The 26387-nt window shown below is 43.3% G+C and overlaps 1 long non-coding RNA gene and 1 pseudogene across 8 annotated transcripts in view; both read right to left on the reverse strand.

The window, feature by feature from the left end:
* The window catches only part of COPS8-DT (COPS8 divergent transcript), a 175051-nt gene that overhangs the window by 91445 nt on the left and 57219 nt on the right, over nucleotides 1-26387 (reverse strand). Inside the window, exons 2-3 of one of the 8 annotated variants that reach the window (NR_187943.1) lie at nucleotides 20844-20984; nucleotides 9684-11731 (exon numbers count right to left, since the gene is read on the reverse strand). The exons of the other annotated variants lie outside the window; for them this stretch is intronic. This is a non-coding gene — a long non-coding RNA (COPS8 divergent transcript). Of the gene's footprint in view, nucleotides 1-9683; nucleotides 11732-20843; nucleotides 20985-26387 lie in introns of those variants that run through there. 8 annotated transcript variants of the gene reach the window in all.
* RNU6-1051P (RNA, U6 small nuclear 1051, pseudogene) lies at nucleotides 12989-13090 on the reverse strand (annotated as a pseudogene).

Raw genomic sequence — 26387 nt, forward strand, 5'->3', positions numbered from 1 at the left:
CACCAAGTGTGAATTCCCATGATTAAACACCATGGTTTTCCCCTGCACAGGCTGCTGCTGGAGTGTGCCATCACTTAGACTGGCTTTTCTCATCATGGGTTCCTTCTTTGAGATGTAACCAAGGCTCCGCTATGTGTTCAGCTTATCAAGGTTTTCCAGGATAGCCATGACATCTGGTTTCATTGACTAAAATGAGATTTCAGTTTCAGTCCAATGACTTGACATTTCATGTTCACTTTTCGGTCTGCTTCAGAATAATTCCAGAAAGAGTCAACTGATTTCATCAAAAGCTTTGTGTGACAGAAGGGTTCCAAATCTGAAATTCAATCTGTGGGCCAGGCTAATGTTTTGAAACAATAGCTTCAATATGGATTCAAATGGGCACTGCTATGATTAGACTGAAAAATAAAAAAATCTGTTCAGCTGCAAGAACATTAGAAAAAAAAAAAAAGAAACAGACAGAGGAGAGAAAGAAGATGAGAGAGAGAGGTGTATTTTTACCGGGGTAATTAATTGGTAAAAACTGGAAGAGTGGCAAGGAAGGATTCTGATGATGATAAGAATAGTTCTTGTTTGCGGAACACCTCCTCTGGCTCAGGTACTCTACTCCCATGTTGGATACTCTCCACCTCCCTGATAAGCATGTGTTAGCATTGTCAAGACCTATATACCATGACAGCGGTACGAAGATGGTAAATGAGTTGCCCAGGGCCGTACAGCTAGCAGGATGCCCTACTACTCTAAACTGACTTAGAGGCAGACACCGCTCCCATCATGGTGTGCTGCCTCCTCCAAATAGCAGGATTTTGGAAAGGAGACCCAGGAAGCCCTAGGCAGTGGGCAGAGCTGAGCACAGCCCCAGGCCTTGGTGTTATAAGTGAAGATTTCCAATGCAGGCCTTCTTGTTCTGATGGGGCAGGGTCCTGCCATATAGGATGTCTGCATATGTCTGGGAAAGACATTGCTGAGATAATTTAACTGCTGTCAGTGGCAAACAGTTGTAAACAAAGAGGCCAGATGCATGAAGTGCCGTATTTCAGCATCTCCAAATGGTCCAGGCTTTATGCACCCCTGTTTTGCAGTCAAAGAGATACTGTCAGTTTTAATTGTTCCAATCAATATCAAAATAATTTTAGAGAGTCATTTAATGCAAGGGTGACTCATTTTAAACAAAGCAGTTAATTTGTCTAACACAGCGCCGGACAACTGATCCCACTGAGAACACTCCAGCATGCCATTATTTCAGAGTGAAGATCTCTAATCCAGGCCTTCCTATGGGGGCTGGTTTGTCTTAGGCTTGGATAGACAAACAAAGAATAACATTTCAAATAGACGCTGAGGCAGAATTAATATCATTCATCATGGATTTCTAGCAAAATTGTTTTAAGAAACCCTCCTTAAAATGTTTAAATGCTCTTAATTCATTCATAATAAGATTCATAATATAATTCATAATATGCATAACTATTCATAATAATAATAATCATGTACATAATAAGAGTGAAGCAATCTAAAGACTTCCTCAAGTTCAAAAATGAAACAAAGATAACCACCAATCCCATTACTTTCCTATATTTTTAAGTACCCCGCAATGCAATAACACAAGAGAAAAATAAATAATGGTGAATGAATTCATTGGAGAGATACTTAATAAGTTGCTGCCAGATGCTCTAAGCATGGGGAGGCAGTGGTTAGTTAGGTAATCTTCTGACCCACATGGAGTTTATCTTCTAATATGGTTTTGCTCTGCGTCCCCCCGCAAATTTCATGTTGAATTGTAATTCTCAATGTTAAGGGAGGGGCCTGGTGGAAGGTGATCCTGGGGGCGGATTTCCACCTTGCTATTCTCATGATAGTGAGTGCTCACGAGAACAAGCTTAACAAAAGTGTGTGGCACTTCCCCCTTTGCTCTCTTCCTCCAGCTCCAACATGTGAAGACGTGATGGCTTCCCCTTTGCCTTTGGCCATGATTTTAAGTTTCCTGAGGCCTTCCAGCCATGCTTCCTGTACAGCCTGTGGGACTGTGAGTCAGTTAAACCTCTTCTCTTCACAAATTACCCAGTGTCAGGTAGTTCTTTACAGCAATGTGAGAACAGATTAATACACCTATGGAGGGACAGAAACAAGGTTTGCAGGAATAAATAAGCAGGTGAATGGCAGGTCATGGTAAATGTAATGAATACGGGTTTTAAAGGTAGCATGGCAGAAAGCGGCAGAGATTGAGCCTCTATTTAAGTAGTAAACAGGCCTCTGCGAGGAAGTGATATTGGAAATGAGACCTGAATGCTGAGAGGAGCCAGCCCTTTGAAAGTTGGGGGAAGAACATCAAGGGTGGAGGGAAAGTGCTAGCAAAGTTCCTGGAGTAGGAACACACTTGGCATCTTCTGAGGGACAGGAAGAAAGCAGTGAGGATGCAGCGCTAGACGGGGGAGGACAAACCAGGATGAAGCCAGGAGAGAGGAGACTGGGCTGTGCAGGGAGAGGAGTCGGGGTCCGTCAAAGGGCAATGGGGATGCGGCAACAGGTTGATAAACAAAATACAATATACACACATGGAGGGGAATATTATCCAGCCTTAAAAAGGAAGGAGATCCAGACCCCTGCTACAACGTGGATAAACCCTGAGGACATCACACGCAGTGAAATAAGCCAGTCACAAAACAGAAATGCGGTATGATTCCACTTACATGGGGTCCCTAGAGCAGTCCAATTCATGAAGACAGGCGCAGAGTGGGGGCTCCCAGGGGCTGAAGGGATGGGGAGGGGTCGTTTAATGGGGACAGAGTTTCAGTTCTGCAAGACGCACAAGTTCTGGAGATCTGTTGCACAACAATATCGCAGGAACGCTTAATGCTACTGAACTATATGCTTAAAAATGGTAAGATGGCAAATTTTATGTTACTTTTTTGTTATAACAATTAAAAATATAGTTTTTAAAAATTTTCAAAACGGGTAATGGGGAACTGTGGAAAAGCAGAGACACTTAGATTTTTAAAAATATGATTAGTTTAAGATGACTGGACTCCACCCCCAAAAAGTCTAAAAGACAAACTTACTGAAAACATAAACAGAATTTAAAAAAAAACCCTCTGAAGAAGAAGACCCCTCTGTATATAAGAAAAATATACAAAGAGTAGCAAAGTCATTAATTATATGAAACAAACAAAACCATTGTGAAATTCAAGATCCCGTTTATAAAACATTCAAGAATCTGAAATCATAATAAACAGAATTGCATATCATCATTATTAAAAACCTCGCGGCTGGGCGCGGTGGCTCACGTCTGTAATCCCAGCACTTTGGGAGGCCGAGGCGGACGGATCACAAGGTCAGGAGTTCGTGAGCAGTTTGGCCAACATAACGAAACCCCGTCTCTACTAAAAATACAGAAATTAGCCGGGCATGGTGGCGTGTGCCTGTAATCCCAGCTACTCAGCGGGGCTAAGGCAGGAGAGTTGTTTGAACCCAGGAGGTGGAGGTTGCAGTGAGCCAAAACCGCGCCACTGCACTCCAGCTTGGGCAACAGAGTGAGGTTTCATCTAAAAAAAAAAAAAAAAAAAAAAAAATCCTTGCAAAGTTATTGAAGAGGTACTCAATAAATTGCTGCTGGATGAATGAGCGAAATTAGAATGTGTTATCAGGAGTATAAAAAGAAGACAAATAAAGTAGAGAAACATCGTGTTCTATTTCACAGATATAACGTGATTCCAACTGAAATATAAATAAAGACCTTTTTTTAAAATAACTCAGCCAAATATTGTTAAATTCATTCAGCAAAAATAAAATAGAGGTGAATTTGCCACGAAGCTAAGGACACAGAGGTTTCAGGGCCCCTCATTTGCTCTCTTTCACAGAGGGAGCTTGGATGTTTTGTATTAATTATTTTGTCTTGTTTTTCTTAAGAGGGCACTCATACGGTGTAAGTTTTGTGTTCCACAAAACACATAGTCTTCCCTGTGTGGGTATGTTAACAAATATTCCAAGTAGAAGAAAATAAACCTTAGCCTTTTTAAAAAACATAATATTAGCTCCCATGGCAATAAAATGCCAAGTAGAATTGCAAAGAAATGAAAATAAAGATGAAAGGATAGAATAGGCATGGCAGAATAGACCCAGAATAATATATTATTATGCAATCTTCTCAAAACAAAAGGATAAGGAATTGTAATATAAATAATGTTGGGATAATCAGGGAGCAATTTGGAGAAAACCTAATTTATATCCATACTTTACACCATAATCCCTGAATAAAGAAGGTTGTTTCATCATTACAAATATATTTGTAGAGAAAAATCAGCAGAAAATATCCTACCTTGCAAGAAATAATAAATATTTTTTTTCAAAATTCAAGGAAATGTAAAGCAGACTGATGGGCAATGCAATGTTGAAAATTTTGACTGCACTGATTAAAATAAAAAGAACTAGACTAAAATGTAGGAGGAGACATGTAAGATAAAATATTTACCTGAATTATGTCAACAAATATGATTAATATTGATAATAACCTTTGAAAATACTCATGCATATTTGGAAAGACTTAAGACCTTCATAAAAAAAATGAGTCAAGGCCAACTACAAAAAATATACACATATAAGCAGATAAAAATAATAAACCAGCACTTGAATAAACATAAAGTAAGATAAAAATAACGTAAAATAAAATATAAAATAACATAAGATAAAAATTAACATAACAGCATATGTGAACTTTTAAAACTTAAATCAGAAAATAGTTTAAATAATAACATCTGTTGGTGGTGAAGTTGGGATAAAACTAATATATACATAGATGTGTGTGTGCATCTGTGTGTATGTAATACACAGTTGATAGCATTGTACATTAATACAAACTTTTTTAGATCACTGTGCTTTGGCAACTAAATTTTTTAACCTTGTTTTCCCACATTTAGAAATTTATCTAGCAGGAATGATTAAAGAAATAATTAAATAGAAGCTATAATTGGCCGGGCATGGTGGTCACGCCTGTAATCCCAGCACCTTGGGAGGCCAAGGCAAGTGGGTCATCTGAGGTCAGGAGTTAGAGACCGGCCTGGCCAACATGGTGAAACCCCGTCTCTACTAAAAATACAAAAATTAGCTGGATGTGGTGGCATGCGCCTGTAGTCCCAGCTACTCGGAGAGGCTGAGGCAGGAGAGTTGCTTGATCCTGGGAGGCAGAGGTTGCAGTGAGCCAAGACAGTGCCACTGCACTCTAGCCTGGGAGACAGTGTGAGATTCCATCTTAAAAAAAAAAAAAAGAAGCTATAATTTATATTTAAAAATTAATTGTTGCCGTGATATCTGTTAGAGAAAAAAATAGGAACAACTCAAATGTTGAATAACAAAGAAATAGATGAGCAAATTCTGGTACTTCAATGTGATTGAATCACGTTGAACGAACTGAACAAAACAGTTAAAAGACCATGTAGAAACTCAGGCAAGTGTACACTATAATATAAAATGAATCAAGTATGTGAACACAGACCCAAGGTGAACAAATGCCTACCCGATCCACCCACCCATTAGAGTAGAGAAGAAGTAGTTAGATTCAACATCTCTGGCCCTTGGGATGTGTGTGTGGCTGGGGTGGAGAGGGGGTGTAGCGGTTGGTGCTCAGAACTAATGGGAATTGCCAGATATCATAACTACTTTAAGTAAGAAAACAGTGGATTCCCATATTTTATTTTTTTAACCCATAGTGTGTTTCTATTAAGATTCTGCCTTTTAGGACGAGACCCTCTTAAATGTCAAAACCAGAGTGAAGATGTCCATTACCTGCATATAAACCACGAGATTTTGGCAGGCAATTTTTAAACATCAAAAGAGTGCTCTAGGAATTCCAAATAAAAACCAAAGTCTTACTTTCATTTGCTTAAAAGAGTTTCTTTTCTTCTCACACTCTCATTCTTCATCATAGATCCACTCTACATCAAGTAGTCTATTATTTTCCACTTGGGGAGAAATATGGCTTGATGTGACTTTAGCCTTTCAAACTTAAACCTGCAGAGCCAAGTTCCAGTAGGGAAATGAATTTTTATAGCACAGTTAAAAGTAAAGAGTGGAAACACTGTAAAATCGTTAACAGTCTTCAGCTTTATCACACATTCCTTCATCATCGTCGGTCGGATGGGACAGCCCTGAGATGCCACCAGTCTTCGGGGCTAGGTCCATTACCTGTGCATCTCCACCTGAGTTCAGGCTCTTCAAAACAGAAAATATTATAGAATCCTTTACTGTAAATATTTTATTTATTTATTATTATTATTTTTTGAGACGGACTTTCGCTGTTTTTGCCCAGGCTGGAGTGCAATGGCACGATCTCGGCTCACTGCAACCTCTGCCTCCCGGGTTCAAGCGATTCTTCTGCCTCAGCCTCACAAGTAGCTGGGATTACAGGCGCGTGCCACCATGCCTGGCTAATTTTTTGTATTTTTAGTAGAGATGGGGTTTCACCATGTTGGCCAGGATGGTCTCGATCTCTTGACCTCATGATCCGCCCGCCTCGGCCTCCCAAAGTGCTGGGATTACAGGCGTGAGCCACCATGCCCAGCCCTAAGTGTTTTAATTTTTAAATGAAGGAATGTACCATTTATAGAAAAAACACTTTAATATTACAAACCAAACAGAAGGACTTTAAACATATATTTAAGTAAATAGTGTTTAGGCTCATTTTCTATTGATAGTGTCTTATCAAATATATAGTGTTTGTACATAGTATGGATGTGTTTTGTAAAGCCCTCTTGAGCTAATTCTTTCGTACAACTCAATAACCTTGCAGGAGGATTAGTGTAGAAGGTATGTTTCTGTGAAATAAGCACTCAGAACAGTGCCTGGCATATGGGAAGCACTACATAGTTTTCAGCTGCTGCTGATGTTATTATTGTTATTGTTATTATTATTGTTATTATGTGGGGCAAATGTGTTTTCTGGAATGTAGCCAACAACGGAGAACGTTTTGGAGACTGAGCAAAGGCTCAAACTGAATATTCTGGAGACAATGATGCTTACAGAATGGTCCAAGATATTGACTGAGGATGAACCTGCAAGGCTGAATATATCATTACTCAGCAATGAATACGTACTGCGTGGTTTACATTGTCCATGAAATACACGACAATTCATTAAGAAAGAGTTCATGGTCTTAGGAATGAACTTATACAATATTAAGGTTAAACATATCAGGCAGAGGGATATGGAATTTAAACAACATGCCACTTCTGGGTTTTTTGTTTTTTGTTTTTTTCATTAGTGGGTGTTAATTCTAAATTGACTAGGATACAACTGGGGAACACTGGGGAATGCGGGAGGCAGAAATAAAAGGCCAGGAGGGAAATATGAGAGAAAATTTAATCTTCTATATGGAAACCATGGGCAGAGCCAACGGGCTCCAGTCGTCCCGGCTGAGGTCACTGTGAAGTTGAACCCAGACATGGAGTCCCAACCACAATCAGCAAGGGTGCCTGGATGGTGACCTCCCCAGACCAGGCAGCAACAAATGTCAACCTTCTCTCCTAAGTATGCCTAAAATCCGTCTAAGTCTCCCCATCTCCACAATCATCAGTTTAGATCATTCATTCACTGAAACAAATATTTATTCAGCACTAACGCTATCCCAAGAACTAAGCCAGCTGCCAGATTCGAATAGAGAGGAAACCAGGTGAATTCCCTGGAGACCCACTGGTCTTCCTGCATCTGCTCCAACTCACCGGGAATACCAGCTTCAAGCTGCAGTGAGAGAGACATTTCAGTGCCCGTGTCTCGTTATAGCAGGCACTGCTACACCCTCCATGGCTTCTCTTTGCTCTTAGGGGATGTGTTAGGGCAGAAAAGATAAATAGATGGATAAATAGATAGATGGGTAGATAGATTGATTGATACATAGACAGATACAAAAATAGATATATGAGAAGGTATTTAATAGGGGACTTGGCTCACACAATTATGGAGGCTGAGAGGTTCCACAATAGGCCTTCTGCCAGCTTGGGAACCAGGAAAGCCAGGAGCATAGCTCAATCTAAGTCTGAAGGCCTGAGAATCAGTCGGCTGTTGGGGTAAGGGTAACTCTCAGTCTGAGGCCAACCACCTTAGAACCAGGACCACTGGTGAAAATCCTGAAGTGTGAAGGCTGGAGAGCCTGGAATTCTGATGTCCAAGAGCAGGAGAGCAGGAGAAGAAGGTTGTCCCAGCTCCAAAAGAGAGAGAAGAGATTCTTCTTTCCTTTGCGTTGTGTGTGTGTGTGTGTGTGTGTGTGTGTGTGTGTGTGTGTGTGTGTTTTGCTCTATCTGAACCCTCAACCCATTGGATGGTGACCACCTACATTGGGTGAAGGTGGACCTTCCTTACTCAGTTACTGATTCAAACACCAACCTCTTCTGCAAACACCTTCACAGGCATATCCAGAGATGACACTTAACCAGCTAGCTGGGCAACCCTTAATGCAGTCGACACCTAAAATTCACCATCACAGGGAGGGAATTCTTAACAGGGACCACGGCTCCTACCCCTTCGCCACATCTCCGTTGGCCCCTGTGCTTCTTGGCCCCCCTACTTCTGTGGAACCTTTGGTGACAATGCTTCCTCTTAGTATAGAGACTATCTACTTTCTGTTCCCTGTAATGGGAATGCTGTTCCCTCCAGTCCCCAGCTGGTGAACTCATTCTCTGACGTGCCTAACAAGTTCAAGTTCCCTCTTAATGGGCTCTCATAGCATGGTATTCTGTTCCTTAATGAATGCACTTGCAGTTCACAGGATGACAATTAGATCAGCATCTGTACCCCCTCCCCATTCCTCATCTGTAAACTCCGTTATATTCCCAGTATCTAGAACTGTGCCCAATCAATATCTATTGAATGAATGAGCAATATAATTTCTATTTCAAATATGAAGAAACAAGAATGAGGAAGGTCACATAACTTACCTGATATCACATATTAAGTAAATGTGAAAGTCTGAACTTGAACCCAGAGTATCTGATTCCAAAGCCCCTATTCTCATGCTTTCTTACAGGGATAGGACCGTGCATGTAGAAAGAGCCAGGGTCCAAGCTTGCACCTTCAGGGTAACCTGAGCCAATTCCCTCATCTCAGCTGCCTGGGCAGCTGTCAGCCAAGCCTGGGGACACAGGGTTGGAGGAAGCATCCCTCCTGCAGAATTCTCCACACTACTGTGTAAAGGCTGGCTGCTGTCCACAATTGCTCATCATCCAGGGACTACAGGAGAATAGGGATGAATCTCTTTGTTTCCACAGACTTCTGTGACCTTTCATTTTCATCATCTAAAAAAAATCTCGACCATGTAGGAGACCATTAAAGGACTTCACTTGCTTCAAGGGATCAACAGCTCATGAAATGGCATGTCTTTGTTGGTGCAGAGAAAGGCTGCAGTGGTCCGATTTCTATTAAAAGTAAATAGTTAAGCTGCAGTCCTGAGGCAGCTGAGGAGGTGATTAGTGTGCTGACACAGTGATAGATGATAAACATAATAGAGCTTGACGGAAATTAATGATATTTTGAATCTTTAATAATGGTACGTAACTATCTAAAAGAGATATCTCCATCACAATGTAATTCTTTTAAAAGCCAGGGGAGCTTTGATGACAACTGAGTAAAAACTTTGTATATGGACAAGATTAGAGGGAAACACGGTAAACGGAAATAATTAGATTTCCAGAGTGTCAGAGTGATAGGACTGTGAGTGAGTCTTTTATTTTAATTTCCTTTAATATTATCACGATGGGCTTATGAACAATTGATTCTTTTAAATATAAAAAACCGAGTGGAAAGCTGTCCTCTTCAAAATACGTGTCTGTTTTTTGATGAGAATACAAAGATTGAGTTAATGCATGCCCTTTTCCCTCCTTCCAGCAACCCGAACATTCTCTGTTCCATCCTGCAAATGAAAGTTACATGCAGGGCCATTGTCTGTGAGTTCTTGTCCATTAAGAGTTTGGGAAAATGCACACTTGCCCCAAGAGAAAAGGTCAGAAGCCGGCCAAAGGAATGCCTTCTGGGACAATGGGCCATTGTGACACCCGGGGCCTTGATTAATCACCTACATCTTCGGCGAAACTATTCTAAGTGGCATTGCAAGAGACACCCCGAGTTAGAGGCTGCATGAGAAGAGGAAGGGAGGCATGCTCAGGGCGAATTTGGGCGTCCCTCCTACATAACAGGATCCATGATCTGGAATGCCACCCTGACTGGGCAGCAACCTTTAATTAAGTTCCCATTTCCTCACATCCTGGTTTGTTTCACTGCTAATCAGATGGAAATATTAATTGAGATCATAAATAATAATCCTGTGAAAACATATATGGCAGTTAGAGGCATTATAAGCCATCACTGATTTTCATAGCAAAGCCTGTTCCCAACAGCCACATGCTGAATCCGTGGGCTCTAAAAGTGGCCCATAGCATCTGTGGAAGCTCATAGGGTTGGCAATTCCAGAATCACGTCTAAGGACCTTCCCTGCACTAAGTTTGCAAATTAGTCACAACCTGGTTTACGCTGGTGCAGTTATCTGAGTAAGCCGATAATGCTTTGCATACATTTCATTTCCTTCCACTAAGGAGCTGAGAGCGGTTTCTCATGATAAGAAACTTGGCAGTAAAAGAGTCCACTAGACCTCACATTCCCTGAATATCTCAAAAGTTGGCTTTGCTTTCCTAACAAGAGCAAGCCATTTCTTCAATTTACACAATCTCTTCAGAATCCTTCTGGAAAAATGACCAGGTTTTACCCACGATGTCAAACCAGCAAGAAGGCGAAAGACAACCCGTGCTCAAGCTGCCTGATGAACGCGCTGGGCTTTGTCTGGCCTAACCTGTGAACTCCTTCAAGCACCGTCATGAACGCCACCCTCTGCACGGCGACAGACTGTCATTCTTCCCGCAAACAAATTTGCTTCCTGAGCAATGATTTTTGGTTTAAAGAACTGTTGACAGTGGTTGTTTGACAGAGACAGAAGGCAGAGACAGAAATGGGAGCAGTTTTGGAAAAGCAGGACCAAAAGAATCAATGAGTCTGAGGAGGGTCCCTCGCCTGCCAGCCCTTTCCAAGATCAGCGGGCCGTTTTCTGTAATTGAAAAGGGAGTTCTGGGGACAGGTAGGACCTGATGTGATGAGTTCCATTAAGCGGGAAGCGAGTATATCTTAATCAGAGACTATAGCCTAAGGACAAAAAGATAGAGAGCCTGGAGGTTAGCTGAAAAGAGAAAGAAGAGCAGAAGCTTGGGAAAGACACTGGAGAAGTTTGGGAGCCTCCTTGGCCTCGGTTGCTGGGTCCTGCTGCAGGAACACACGCAGAGGCACAGCACCCTGACTTCTGTTCAGTGCAGCAGCTTCTCTGCCTTCCTCCTTACCTCCCTCAGCTCCTATTCATGCAAACCTTTGTCCAGGAAAACTGGGGGGCATTGAAGTGACAAACGCAGGGCAGGACATTGTTCCAATTCCGGTTTCAGTACCAGATACCTGTATGACCTCAGCATGCTGGGCTTCGGCGTCTGCACTGAACAATTACAACACTGGACCAAGTGACCGCTCCATCTCTGTCCAGCAGGTCTGCTCTATGATAAGGCACGATTTGCTTTCCGGTATCAGCAGCTCAACAGCCCCTGTTCTGAGTGTCACAACAGTCTCCAAGATGGGTGTCCTGGTGATTTGCTGTTTTATAAAGCACACAGCTGTTATCCATCAATTCAGCCAGAGGATCTTTCTTTGCAGGCTCTGCTGACTGTTACAAAGGAAATAAGTAGTAGCACAAAGGAAACAAGACATAGTTATTCTCAAAGGGCTGAGAATCTGGTTGGAGAAATCAGACAGATTCACAGATGGGCAACAAAAGCTGATAAGAGGGCCGGGTGTGGTGTCTCATGCAGGTAATCCCAGCACTTTGGGAGGATGAGGTGGGTGGATCATTTGAAGTCAGGAGTTCAAGACCAGCCTGGTCAACACAGTGAAACTCTGTCTCCACTAAAAATATAAAAATTAGTGGCAGGGTAGTGGCATGCGCCTATAATCCCAGGTACTCAGGAGGCTGAGGCAGGAGAATCGCTTGAGCCTGGGAGGCGGAGGTTGCAGTGAGCCAAGATCACACCACTGCACTCCAGCCTGGGCAACAGAGTGAGACTTCATCTCAAAAAAAAAAAAAAAAAAAGGCTGATAAGACAACAAAATAAAAGACAATGCAGTGTAGTAGAAATGACCCTGGGGCTCCTTTTTTCCCCACTGTATTTTTTTTATTCTTATGGATCTCGGGGGTAGGAAGGTAGTTCTGTTACATGTCTACGTTGCATAGTGGTAACGTCTAGGCTTTTAGTGTACCCACTGCCCAAATAATGAACACTGGTCCCAACAGGTAATTTTTCAGCCCTTACCGACTTCCCATCCTCCCCACCTTCTGAAGTCTCCAAGGATTCCCCTGTATGTCCATGCGGGCCCACTGTTTAGCTCCCACTTCTAAGTGAGAACATATGATATTTGACTTTCTGTTTCTGAGTTATTTCACTTAGGAGAATGGCCTCCAGTTCCATCCATGTTGCTGCAAAACACATGATTCCATTCTCTTTTATGGCTGAATATATACACCACATATTCTTTTTCTTTTTCCTTTTTTTTTTTTTTTTTGAGACAGTCTCGCTCTGTCACCCAGGCTGGAGTACAGTGGTGCAATCTCAGCTCACTGCAACCTCCACTTCCGGGTTCACGCCATTCTCATGCCTCGGCTTCCCAAGTAGCTGGGACTACAGGTGTGCACCACCACACCCGGCTAATTTTCTTTCTATTTTTAGAAGGAGTTTCGCCATGTTGGCCGGGCTGATCTCAAACTCCTGACCTCAGGTGATCCACCTGCCTCAGCCTCCCAAAGTGCTGGGATTACAGGCATGAGCCACTGCGCCCGGCCCCGCATATTCTTTATCCACTCATCTATTAATGGACACTTAGGTTGATTTCCTGACTTTGCTATCATGAACATTATTGGAATAAACATAAAAAGATGGAATGCTTCATGAATTTGTATGTTATCCTGTGCAGGGGCCGTGCTCATCTTCTCTGCATTGTTCCAATTTTAGTGTATGTACTGCTCAAGTATACACCAGGACCCTTGGGTTCTATGTGAATTAACTCTTTTGCCTGTTAAGTCTCGATATTCTTGCCTACTAAATGGGGTGTCAGACTACATGATCTCCAAGATCCCTTTATGGAGTACATAATAATTAACTTAGGGAGGTGCAGAAAAAGTGTGTGCACAGGTGGTTGGGCCATTCAGTGTGTGACAGAGGCTGGGCTCTGCAGTGTGGGTCATAGTCAGAGATGTTCACAGGGCAGGGCCCCGGAGGCCACTGGAGGCCATTGCCAGCACAGAACATGGAAAGCCCAGATGCCCGAGGTCGCCAGGAACAGGACATGTCTACCAGAGAGGCTGGAAGGTGGGAGAGAGAGCACTTGGCTGGAGTCACCTGTGCCTTCCCAGGGAGGACTCTAGTGTTTCCACTTTGTCCCACTGACACTGGGGAGACTGGAAGGATTCCAAGCATGGGATACGGGATGAAAGTGGCACTGCCAAGGGGGTCTGACTGCTCCTAATGAGAATGGCCCTCACATGGGGTCTCCTGGTGCCACTGGCATTGCAGTGTCTCCAGGGGTTTTCCCATACTGGAAGGAACTAACAGGTAAAGAAGATTGAGGCAAAAGGTGAGAACCTCAAGGAACCTGAAGCTATTTGATTTTCTACCAGGGGGATTTCTACCCTAACTTGCCATCTCCAGCAGTATAGAGGTTTTGAGCTGTTCTTGATGCCTTGGAGTGATGTAACAGACTGGGGCACCTGGAAAAATCAAGTCAGCTTCTTTGAGAAACCTCTACAGGAAAATCAAACAACACTCATTCCCAAAACAACCACCACAAACCAGAACACCATCCTTTTTGGCCACAGAGGACAAGAAGGAGGGGGTTTTCTTGTAGTCAGATCCTTGATTTATCAACTGCCTGAATTGAAGTCATTCTCAGAAATAAAGGTGCAAACTAAATTGCAAAGGGGAGGCAAGTCTTTAACCCCAAGCATTGTTTTGGGGAAGACGGATCTCTTTGCCTAACTGAAGGGTAATAAACATTTCTTCCACAGCTGTTGAAACGTTTATACCTTTCACCATTGAGACAAGAAGACTCTGACAAAGAAAGCAATCAAAATGTTAACAGAAGGACTGGATAATGTTATATTGACTTCTTTGGAATTACTGACCTTCCATGGAAAGAGAATGGCATCTTCTAAAAATTAAACATTATTCTAAGTCTAGGACACACTTCTTTCAAGCAGCCTAGGTAAGACGATTTAGGAAGTTAGAAATGCAAACATTAGCTCAATAGATACAAAATAATTTAGTCTTATCCTTTCAATTTTTCCGATAAGTGAAGTTAAGGTGAAATGTCTAACTAATTCTCACAAGAAAGCAGGAATGCAGGGGGAGAATTCCATGAAGGAAGCCTTTGATCATTGCACCGCAGGACAGACGGGCATTCCCTCTGCGCTGACCGGCGGGAGTTAGAGTCCCCACATTGTGCGGTGGCAGCCTCTGCTTACTCATCAGAAGCTGCCTGGCTTTCCAAGCTTACTCCAGAAACTTGTAGAAATTTGAGAAAATGCAACCACCTCTGCTAGCAAACTAGTCCCTGGGACCCCCTGAGTCTCTGGCATTTCAATCACCTCCCACCTTCTGCTAGCATCTCTTCTGAGTTCCTCTCACTAAGGCCCTGCCACGGAAGGCTGCTCTACACCCAGTGCTGGTCCCTAATGCTCACTCAGCTTCGGCCACAGCCCAAGTCACCACTGGCCAGGCCTTAGGAGTAGGATGCCATGAGTCCAGCAGGCAGATTTAGCAGCAGAGCTTCGGGGCACCTGCCTTGTGCCGAGCCGCAAGGTCCACGGAGCTGAGCCTTGTCCTCTTGTTGTCACTTCTAGTCCCTAATAGGGGCTCAGCAAACATTTTTTGAATGTGTCACCAGAAGAAAGCCTGAATGCATGCATTAGAGTTGGAAGTGAGAGAGAGGGAGGGGGAATCATGGCTACGTAAGGATGATTTAGAAGAAGTGCCTGCCTTCAAGGAGCTTAGAATCTGGTGGTAAGAATAAGAAAAAATTATAATATAAGGTAGTATAGTAAATTAACTGCCTACATTATAGAAACAATGATAGGGATGATCTCATTACCCTTTAGCTCATATATTGCTTTAATTCTAAATCTTGGGATATGGTTGTAAGATGGTATTTGAACCAAACCTTGCACTAGGGAAAGGAATTCTCACAAGCTGGCGTGTGCTGCCTTCCTTTAGCCCTAGCCTGTGGCAGACATCACTAATTGATTTCTCCATAATTGATTACTGCAAGGCAGGGAAGGAGATACCATGTCTGAAAGTGCCTGTTCAATGTCTGATGAAAAGCAGGTGACTAATTCAAGTTCTTTTTATTTTTCCTCTTCTTCCTTTCCCAGAAAACCAAATAAGGGTCCCAGTGACATTTTGCCATGGATGTTTCCACTGTTGGAATTGCTGTCAATGTTACTTGTTTAGTGGATGAAAACCCAGTTCTAAATGGCATCACTAATTGATCATGGCTTGCTTTCCAACTGAGCTTTACGATTCTTCTCAACACGGGGCCCTGAACTTACATCTTCAGGCCTATGAGGTGCAAATGTGCTATTGATTGTCCCACCCTGTTCTAGATTATGAGCAGCCATTCTAAGACCTGGGGTTCAGAAAAAAGAGGGATTCCAGAGGAATGCACAATCACTGGTAACTCAGGGGCTTTGATGCAGTCCCAGGCATAGAAAGTTCCTCCTCCTCAGGGTTTGACCATCACATGTCTGCCCGCACCCAGAGCCATCTTCCTCCATCCCTCCTACAGGTCAGGAAGAAAACTGGGTCCTCACCCACTAAACACGTATCGTTGACAGTAATTCCAACAGTGGGAACATCCGTGGCAAAATGTCACTGGGACACTTATTTGGTTTTCTGGGAAGGGAAGAAGAGGAAAAACAAAAAGAACTTGAATTAGTCATTAGCTTTGCATCAGGCATTGAACAGACATGGTATCTCCTTCCATCCCTTGCAGTTCTGAAAGGATGATTATATGTATTCTATCGTATCATTATATATCATGGTTTTTTAGCCACTGGTGTCATTGACAATGCCAGTAACTAAGCCAACCTGTTTGACCAACAACAAATTTGGATGTTTCTGACTTTTTTTTTTAATAGACTTTTGCTGCTACTGTTAACTGCTCAAGGCATTCTAATAGGCACTTAGACCATACCTATGATTAGGAGCTCTTTGCAATTTGCTATTGAGCCCCTAAACAGCAGGCAGACATCAAACGGTCTCTAACATGATTTGAATACCACTGGATTCTTTTGTCCTCTTCTGATTCCCTACCATAATCCTGTACACTCAACCAATAACAATCTTTTGAAGTTTATAACTTTCTTAACTTCAAAGTTTTCTCGATGCCTAAGTAACAGGAGGTTTTCAAGGTGGAAATGCTAAATGAGTATACCATGCACAGTATAAATAACACACATCCAAGGGCATCCAAGACTTCAAAACCATTTGTATTAAGCTAGACAGCAGCTGTGAGAATCTACCCTTGTATGATGTCCTATTATAAATATCAGATTAGAGGAAACTTGGGGAGTGAGGCCTTGTTCATTCATATTGGGTTTTATTAATTTCCCCGCCCCCCCCCCCAAGTACATTCAACATGAGAGCATCTTAACATACCCCAGGGGCATTCCTGTGCATTCATGCAACTGTTCTCATCAAAGGAAAAAAAATACTTCACCCCATTATTTTATGTGGCTTCCAAGAGAGTTTCAACCCTTAAAAATTTATAAGTCCTTTTCATTAGGCCACTATTGTTTGATAGAATCTTAACCTCCTTCTGACACCTTGCTTCCCTAAGTAAAAATGTAATAACAACACTTACAACAATAACAACAACACAATGACAATAATAGTAATGGCAAACACCAGGTGGTCTGCACTTTCTATAGGCTGTGTGCCTCATCTGCATTCTGTCAATGAATCTTTTTTTTTTTTTTTTTGACAGTCTTGCTCTGTCACCCAGGCTGGAGAGCAGTGGTGCAATCTCTGCTCACTGAAACCTCCACCTCCCAAGTTCAAGCGATTCTTATGCTTCAGCCTCCAGAGTAGCTGGGTTACAGGCACGTTCCACCAAGCCTGGCGAATCTTTGTATATTAGTAGAGATGAGATTTCACCCGTGTTGACCAGGCTGGTTTCAAACCCCTGGACTCAAGTGATCCACCTGCCATGGCCTCCCAAAGTACTGGGATTACAGGCATGAGCCACCAAGCCTGGCTGATTTTTGAATATTAGTAGAGATGAGATTTCACCACGTTGACCAGGCTGGTCTCAAACCCCTGGCTTCAAGTGATCCACCCGCCTTGACCTCCCAAAGTGCTGGGATTACAGGCATGAGCCACGATGCCTGGCAATTCTGTCAATTAATCTTTATCAGAGTCCCATTTTAAAGATGTGCAAACTGAGGCTGGGAGAGGTTTAGGCAACTGGCCTAAAATAATGATAAGTAACACATGGATCCAGGACTTGACTACAGCAAAGCCAATATTTTTCTTCTTCTCTTTAAATTGTCTCCCTTTCTTGTTTTTCTATAACCCAGATAAAACATTCCTCAATTGATTGATCCTAGATAATTATATATGCATATGTTTTACTTCTCCAGTGTTTTAATGTCTAAGATCGTCTACAAGTTCTATACATCAGTAATTACTGTATTTCATGAAATGGGAAGTAGCAATTTTTTCGTTTGGCAGCTTGTAAACTCAGTCAGACAGAATCAAATCACTTCCCTGAAGCTCACCACAGGAAGGTAGCCTCATTACCTAAAAAACAGAACAAAAAAGAAAAAGAAAAAGAAAAAAAGGCTCCCTTCTTCATGAGCCTTCCACGAATGCATTCTGCATCTTTATTGCTGCTTTCATTGCTTGGCTCTCGTTAGACTTTTCCCCCAGATGTTCTTAATTTGGGGGTTATTTTCCATTGCATGTGGGCCCTTCAGTACTGTAAATATTTGACTTCAATATTTTCCATAGCTTGAAGAACTTTACAGTGGTCACTTCAGACATGGTTACAGAATGTTCTCTGATCCTTTCAGGCTGCTCTGTAAATTAGAAACTTGGTAGTTGATATCTTGTGGGCTCCACACACCATTTTTTTTTTCTCAGACTTTGATGTCTAAAAGTGCATTGTGTTATTTAGGCCTTAGGCACGTATAGAGATATCCCTGAAGCATAGATCAGGGTGGCTCATATGAATGAATTTTTTCCAATTAATTTATCCTCTATGGTGGGATCTCACATTAAAAATCATATTGTAGGTTTTTTTCTTTTTCTTTTTTTTTTTTTTTTTGAGATGGAGTCTCACTCTGTCGCCCAGGCTGGAGAGCAGTGGCGTGATCTCGGCTCACTGCAACCTCCACCTCCCAGGTTCAAGTAATTCTCTGCCTCAGCCTCCCGAGTAGCTGGGATTACAGGTGCCCACTACCATGCCCGGCTAATTTTTGTATTTTTTAGTAGAGACGAGGTTTCACCATCTTGGCCAGGCTGGTCTTGAACTCCTGACCTTGTGATCCACCCACCTCTCAAAGTGCTGGGATTATAGGCGTGAGCCACTGCATCCAGCCATATTTTAGATTTTTAAAAGATCTCTGCCAGTGGTCTTCAGTGGTACCATCTTCATTCAGCCTTGAGTACGAATCTTTATTATATGAAATGCCCTAAACCCATTCCCTCCCAATCCTAGACTGTACTTGCCCTTTGCTCACCATTTCTTCCACCTCATCCTTCTCCATTGTCCTCCCCAACCAGAGGCTTTCCCTATGATGCCTTCCTTCCCAACCAACTTTCCCTTGGGTCATTTTAAATTAATATGTACTAATAACCCCGTTAATATTAATACATCATGTTAATCAGCAATAAATCAATTTTGTATCATCTAAGGACATATTCGCATAACTAATCTGACTATTAAAAAATTACATTTATTTGAAGTTGCACAGATTTTTCACATGTATTTTGCACTGATTTACGAATTGAGAGCTATGAGGGATAACAAAAAATATCTTTCCATATTCATTCTCAGAAAGCAACTGTTTCATTTTGGTATTACATATCATATTGCAAGCAAATAACATTCTTTATCACGTGAAAAAAAGGAATGCTATAAATTAAATCATCAGTGGACTTGAAAAAAGGTGCTATTGAGGCATGTGGTCTAGCTTGCCAGTATAAGAATTTTGCTGGTAATGTGCTGTCTCACTTTTTTTTTTTTGCAAGATGTTGATAAATAACACATTTATAAATGGCTTGCATAATGGATTTTTAACAACTTCCTTGGGAAATAATTTTATGTTCCCATAAGATTTTCCTGCTATGAAGCTTTTCCTGCCACTTGTTCTAAATTTCCTTTTGACATATTTGATGGTTCAATAAGGTGTTGGTTTCATTGAGTGCTATATATCACCAGCGTGGAGCTGGCGTAAAGGGTCATGGCTCTTTACAACAGGAAAGGACCGAGAAATACGAAATTATATGAACCACGTGGTCACTAACTTCTCTATTCAAGTTTCAAATTGACTATAAAATATTCTCAACACTTTTAAATTGAAAAGATTCAGTTTGTATGACAGTATATTGAGTATGAATTTGGGGGGTTGACTATCTTTGTTTTATGTTTGTTAGAAATGCTTATGTTAGGGCCAGACATGGTGGCTCACACCTGTAATCCCAGCACTTTGGGAGGCCGAGGTGGATGGATCGCCTGAGGTCAGGAGTTCGAGACCAGCCTGACCAACATAGTGAAACCCATCTCTACTAAAAGTACAAAAATTCGACAGGTGTGGTGGTGCATGCCTGTAATCCCAGCTACTCAGGAGGCTGAGGCAGGAGAATCACTTGAACTCAGGAGGCAGAGGTTGCAGTGAGCCGAGATCATGCCACTGCACTCCAGCCTGGGCAACAGAGTGAGGTTTCGTCTCAAATAAAAGAAAAAGAAGAAAAAAAAGAAAGAAAGGAAGGAAGGGAGGGAGGGAGGGAGGGAGGGAGGGAGGGAGGGAAGGAGAAAGAAAGAAAGAAAGAAAGAAAGAAAGAAAGAAAGAAAGAAAGAAAGAAAGAAAGAAAGAAAGAGAAAGAAAGAAAGAAGGAAGGAAGGAAGGGGAAAGAAAGAGAGAGAGAAAGAAAGAAAGAAGGAAGGAAAAAGAGAGAAAGAAGGAAGGAAGGAAAGAAAGAGAGAAAGAAAGAAAGAAAGGCTCATGTTATCATGTTAGCTGTTTATCACTGGGCCCTCTGGACTATCTTCCCACTTGAGGTGACACAGTTGAAGAGAGCTGTCCACCTAGAGCTGGAGAAGCCACCTTTGACAGCCCATCTGCGGCACTTCCTACCTTCTCCCGATCTGCCCGCTAGTGCTCATGGTAATAGTAGTACCTCTGCCACCCTCTGCTGCCACCGTCAACTAGTCGCATCTCAGTGGCTGCTGGCAACCTTGGGTTCTCATCTTTCTCTCCATCCGGTCAGATAATGCTTTCATCGTTACATGTTTTCGTTTGATTTCTTTCCTCCATTGGATCTCCTCTGGGAGAAGGGGTTGGGAGTTGGGGACCTTACCAAAATAACTCTTTCAGTTTTGCACTTTCAGGACATGAAGTTGTTTCCTCAAGGAAAATGAAAACTGGGTCAGAAAAGGTTCCAGTGTACCCCCACACTATACCTGAAATGTCCCTGCTTCCTCACACCTCCCCCCACCAGCCTTCTTACTCATGTGATTTTTCTCTCAGGAATCACTCTATCCTTCGGCAGTTTGTCTTCTATCCCCTTCCCACCAACTCTTCCAGGTCAGACACATCTCTACATCTCTGTGGCCAAGCTTCAGCACTTCCTATTGAGCTCCTGAGCCTCCTTTAAATTAAAAAAAAAAAAATGGCTGTGCATCCGCTTCAATGTCCCCAAATACCCACAAGCACATGGATGGATTTGCCAGCTCAACACCCAGAAAGGGTTCTAGAAAGTGTGGAATCACCTAACTCCATGCAGGGTCCAGACAAGGCTGCTGTTCTAAACCCAGTCATACAGTTTGATTAAAATCTTTGAAGAATATAATTCAAATGGACAAATATCGAAACGTGAACTGTGATTTCTGGGTAGTGTGGGTGATATTCACTCTTTTTCTTTTTACTTAGCAGTATTGCTTGATGTTCCTATAATATCATATTAGCATTTTGCAATAAGTTATTCATTGTAATTGAGATATGGGGGACTGACACAGGCAGTGGCAGTGAGAATGGAGAGAGAAAGAAAAAGATATGAGAGTATCTAGAGAGTCCTAGACCTGGTGACCAAGAGAGTGACCAGGAGCTAGGAAAACACCAACCAAAACAACCACTAGACAGCATATAAATATTGGAATTACAGAAGGGACATGTGGCAGATGCCAGGGTCTCCTTGACATCCTTTCTTCCTCTCCCATTGTTCAGTAACTGAGTTCTTTGGGGCAATGGACTCCATGCCAGTTCTACAGGTCCCCACCCCACCACAGGTCTCTGTCAAGGAGCCAGACACCATCCACCTGATGTGGTTCAAACAGCACAGTTCTGAGCCATTCAGCAAATGATATTCCCCTGGCCACACTGCTCACTTCAAGGGTGATCCAACCAGCATAAAGCTCTAGATTTGAGCTTGAGAGTTGTGGGAAGACCTCCTCCCGGCTATTGTGTGTATTTAAAGAAGCCCAGGCTGCAACAGCAGCCATCCTAGGTCCAAGAAGGCAGCCAGCCTTGGAATGAAACCAACACAATAGAAGGCCAAGCAGCCAGACAGGAACAAATTGGATCCCTGATGGCAGCATGGAGCCACTGGATTTGCTGACCCAAAGTCTATCCTGCCACTGGGCTTTCCAGTTTAATGAGCCAATTAATTGCCTGATAATTTAAAGTGTCCTGGCTAATTCAGAGCTGGCTGGGAATGGGGTGGAAGATGAGAAAGACAGCTGCTAAATCCCTGCAAGATGTTCAGGACCCATGTCCAGGAGGCAGTTAAAAAGTGGAACTTGGACCTTGAACTCAGGATAGAGACTTAGACTCAGGAATGAACCTGGGGGTTACTAAAATATGTATCAGTCAGCTACTGCTGCATAACAAACTACCTCCCCAAACTCAGAAGCATGTGAGATGGTCAGCTGTGGGGGCTCTGCTCATTGCTGCTAAGCTTGGCTGGACTCAGGCTCCACATGTTTGTTAAGACTCCCAAAGCAAATCACATAGTTGAGTCCATCTTCAGTTGGCTGGAGAATGTATATTCTGCTTCTGCTTCAAAGTTGTATTGAAAAGGGTGTGGTTTCAGGAAGAAATAAAAGCTATGGGACAATATTGCTCTCCATCACATGGTGTCATTCCAGGTGAAGCCCAGGGCATGGATAAAATACCCTAAAGAAAATATCAATGAGATAAGGGGACACCAAAGTCTATGGAGCAGAAGATGGGCATATGAAAAAGGTTTTAAAAAGAATCTTCACTTATTGATTGTATAGCTATTTATTGAGTTCCAACTATGGGTTGGGCTCTGTTTCTATTTCTGGGGTGGGAAAGCTGTCAAAAAAAACCCTGCATCATGAAGCTTCTATTCTAGTAAGACACTGGGGAGACCAACAATATACAAGATAAATAATAAAACACGTAGAATGTTAGCTATTAAGTGTTAGTATAAGAATATTTAAAGCAAAGAGGAGAAGTGGCTATGTAGTGAAGGGAGGAGGGGTGAAATCATAGTGTCCCTGGCCAGAGAAGGATGCACTAAGAAGGTGTGAATGAAGGGTCGAAGGAAGTCAGGGAGGGAGCCATGCAAATACCTTCGGGAACAGAAGGAACAGAATGTGCACAGACACAAAGCAGGGGTGTGTCGCGTGTTCAGGGCATAGTGCATAGGGCAGTTGGCTTGAACAGAAGGAATGGGGAAGAGAAGTAAGAGATGAGTCAGTATGACAGGGCCACTCACAGCCTCGCACGTCATGAGGACTTTGGTCTGGAAGGAGTGAGCTGGAGGCCAGGGGGGAGTTTTGCTCAGAGGAATGACATGATCTGATTGTAACAGGATCCCTGTGGCTGACTTAACTGACAAAACTGATATTAATTTTACTGATGTTGACAGAAGGCTATAGCAATGCAGAGGGGAGAGGGCAGGGGAGCTAGATCTGATGCAGGAGGATCATTAAAAGGCTATTGTGGGGAGCTGGGAGAAGCTGATAGGGGCTTGGAGCAGGGTGGGTTAGTATAGGGGGGAGAATGTGACCTGATTCTCAAGCCAACCAACATAATCTGCTAGGTAGTTTCATGTGGGGTGTAAGAAGTAGAGAGGAATGAACGTTCGCTCCAAACTTAAGCAATTGGAAGAATTCACTGAAATTGGAGACAGATGTGAAGAACAGGTTTGGTGGAAACATCAGAAGTCTGATTCAAACATGGTGAGCTTCAGATGCCCACTGAATGTCCGAGAGCAGCAGATGTCAAGGAGAAGCTCAGGTGCACCAGTCTGGAATTCAAGGGGAAGGCCAGGGCCAGCGAGTATATTTGCCAGTGGTCAGGATATAGATGATATCTAAAGCCAGGAAACAGCATGAGGTCCCGTAGGGGTGAGTGAGGACAGAAAAGAGAGGGGCTCAGAGGACTGAGCCCTGATGACTCCAACGATGACCAAGGATTACCTTGACTTTCAAGGTCAGAGAGATGAGGAGGAGCCTCAGCTGTGCTTGGGGGTGGGGTCAGCTGTGGGTACGGGCTGCCCAATCTGAGGAAGGTGGAGAGCATTTCAGGGAAAAAAGAGAGAGGCTCCAGCTGGATCTGAAGCTGATGGGGAGGTAGAGTATGACGAGGGCCAAAATCCTCCTTTAGATTTGGTGACTGGGATGCCAGTGATTATCTTAGTCAGAATACCTTCAGGGTGTGGCAGAATCAAAGCTAGGCTGTGGCTTCTGAGATTTCAGGGGCTTTTGGAGGAGGAGGAAATGGAGGTGGTGAACTTGGACAAACATTTAAGAATGTTTGCTACAAAAATTACAATGATGATGATGGTCGCTCACTAATATCCATCATCTATTCTAAACACTTTACATGCATTGAATCAATGGAAAGCAGCACAAAGAGATAAGGTGGTTTCCTGACACTAAACCGGGTCCCAGAAAGGTGTGTGCCTTTGGCTGTGGTGTGTGTGCAAATACCTGAAACCACAGAGCAGGTGGACAGGCTGAAGGGAAGGAGGCAGTGACAGAAGAAGCAACAGACACCGGGAGGAGGGGATGACTGGGAGCCCCAGAGCCTGGATCTATTGGATGGAATTCAGAGCCAGACAGAGGGACTCACCTGAGTGAAGAAGGAGATGCACGCTCTGTTCCCAAAGGAAGAAGGGAAGAGTGGCGAGAGAAATTTCATTAACTTACTAAGAAGGAGGCCAGGAGGCCAGGTCATTTGGAGGAGAGAGATGAACAGGGTATGGGAGATACTGAGCAGCCGCAGATGGCCTCATTGGGAATGGAGACCAGGTGGGCTGTGTCTACCAGAAGTGCCGAGCGGCCCGAGAGCAGGGGGCCCAGGAATGGATGAGCAGAGTATCGGTGCCGAGAAGTCACCAGAGGAAAAAGAAACTGAAGGGAGGAACATGAAAGAGGATGGAGTGACGGCCCACAGGATCGGGCTTGGCAAGGACAGAGTTAACCCTGGTGGGAAACATGGAGTTGGGGAGGGCAAGGAAGGGAGGAAGGATCTGAGGGAGCTCATGGGGGAGTGCAGTGTGTCCAGGGACAAGAAGGAGGCATGGGAAGCCCAGGGTGCATTCATTTCAGGGGTATTTGCTGAGAGGCCGCTGTGCACCGTGCACTCCCTCGGAGCCCTGGGCACATTAGGAGGTGGCATTTAGAGTGGCCTAGGGGGCAAGAGCCGGAGTCACAGAGTAGATGAGACTGCCCAGGAGACCATGAGTTAAGAGACAGGAGACTCAAGGGTAGAACTTCAGGGGAAATGTCTCTTCCATGAAAGGGGTGAACAGGAGAAGTTGTGCCAGAGCCCTAGGGAAGGAGGAAAGCTCCCGACCCCCAACCTCTACCCTACCTGCCATCTGCCCACTTCCATGAGCTCCATGAGTGAGCCCTGAAACACAGGGGAGGAGAGAGGTTACAGGGTAAGGGGACTGCATCTGACCACCTGACTGAGGAACAGTCTTCCTCTACAGGAAAGTCATTCTCCCCTTCTGAAGGTGCGGCTTAGAGACGGGAGGACACTTAGGAAGCAGTGAGAAATTGGATATGCAGCCACCAAGCCAGGGCAGCTGAGTCCACCTGGTGGCCGGTGGGTGACATGAAGGCAGTACTATCATCTCAAGTGATTTCAAGATAGGTTGCAGCAAAGTTATCAAAGATGGTCAGTATTAATGACGGCCATGGAAGCTCCGATTTGTGTAGACTGGATCTTTTACTAAGTCCTTTCAACATCCTTCACCTCATTTGATTTTCACCATAGCCATGTGAGACTTGACCTCTCAAAGATGGGAAAGTTGAGGCCAAAAGAAGATTTAACGAACTCGCCCAAAGACACACAGCTGGAATGAAAGTTATTTGAAAGTGACCCTTTGCAATGGGAGCCTGAAGATTGTTTAATTTATTGTGCACGGTCCTCTTTTTTTATGCTATGTGAAATGTCAAGAATAATTTCCTTGTAATCAACAATGTTCATTTCTTTGTTTCTTTCCCTTTTACTGCCTTTTCAGAAACTCTGCTGATGTCTTTTGGAAGCGTCTATTCCAATGAGTCTTTTCCAGCTTTCCATTATTGGTGAGGTGTGAGGGAACTAGTCACTCCCCAAAGATTACCAGAAAAGTTCATTTTCTAGTTGAGTTGGGAGGTGCACCTCAACCAGGAACATGGAGACTTCCTGCTGGTTTCACATGGAGGCCTCCCGCCTTCTCGTTTATGCCAGTGGGGCAGTTATTGAGTTGGGTAAAGATGCTCTTACTGGTCATACAGGGTATGTTGAAGAAATGAAAATACAACTTAGATAAGCATTCAGTTCATTTCAACCAATATTTTCTAGGTGCCTAGAATGGGAGCTGTTTGGACAAAATGGTGCATGGGGATTTAACATTCCCAAGGTCAAACAAGGCCCGGGTCTCTGGGTAGCAGTCCAGGGACAACCAGCACCACCACAGATGGCTTCCCAGGCAGAGGGGAGCAGCCTTGCACAGATACAATAGTTATGTGCTTTTAGGGACACACACTCCTTAAAAACTGAAGTATGGAATCTCCAGGAAAATGTACATGCA

The sequence above is a fragment of the Homo sapiens genome, chromosome 2 (genome assembly GCF_000001405.40).
Source record: "Homo sapiens chromosome 2, GRCh38.p14 Primary Assembly".
NCBI lineage: Eukaryota > Metazoa > Chordata > Mammalia > Primates > Hominidae > Homo > Homo sapiens.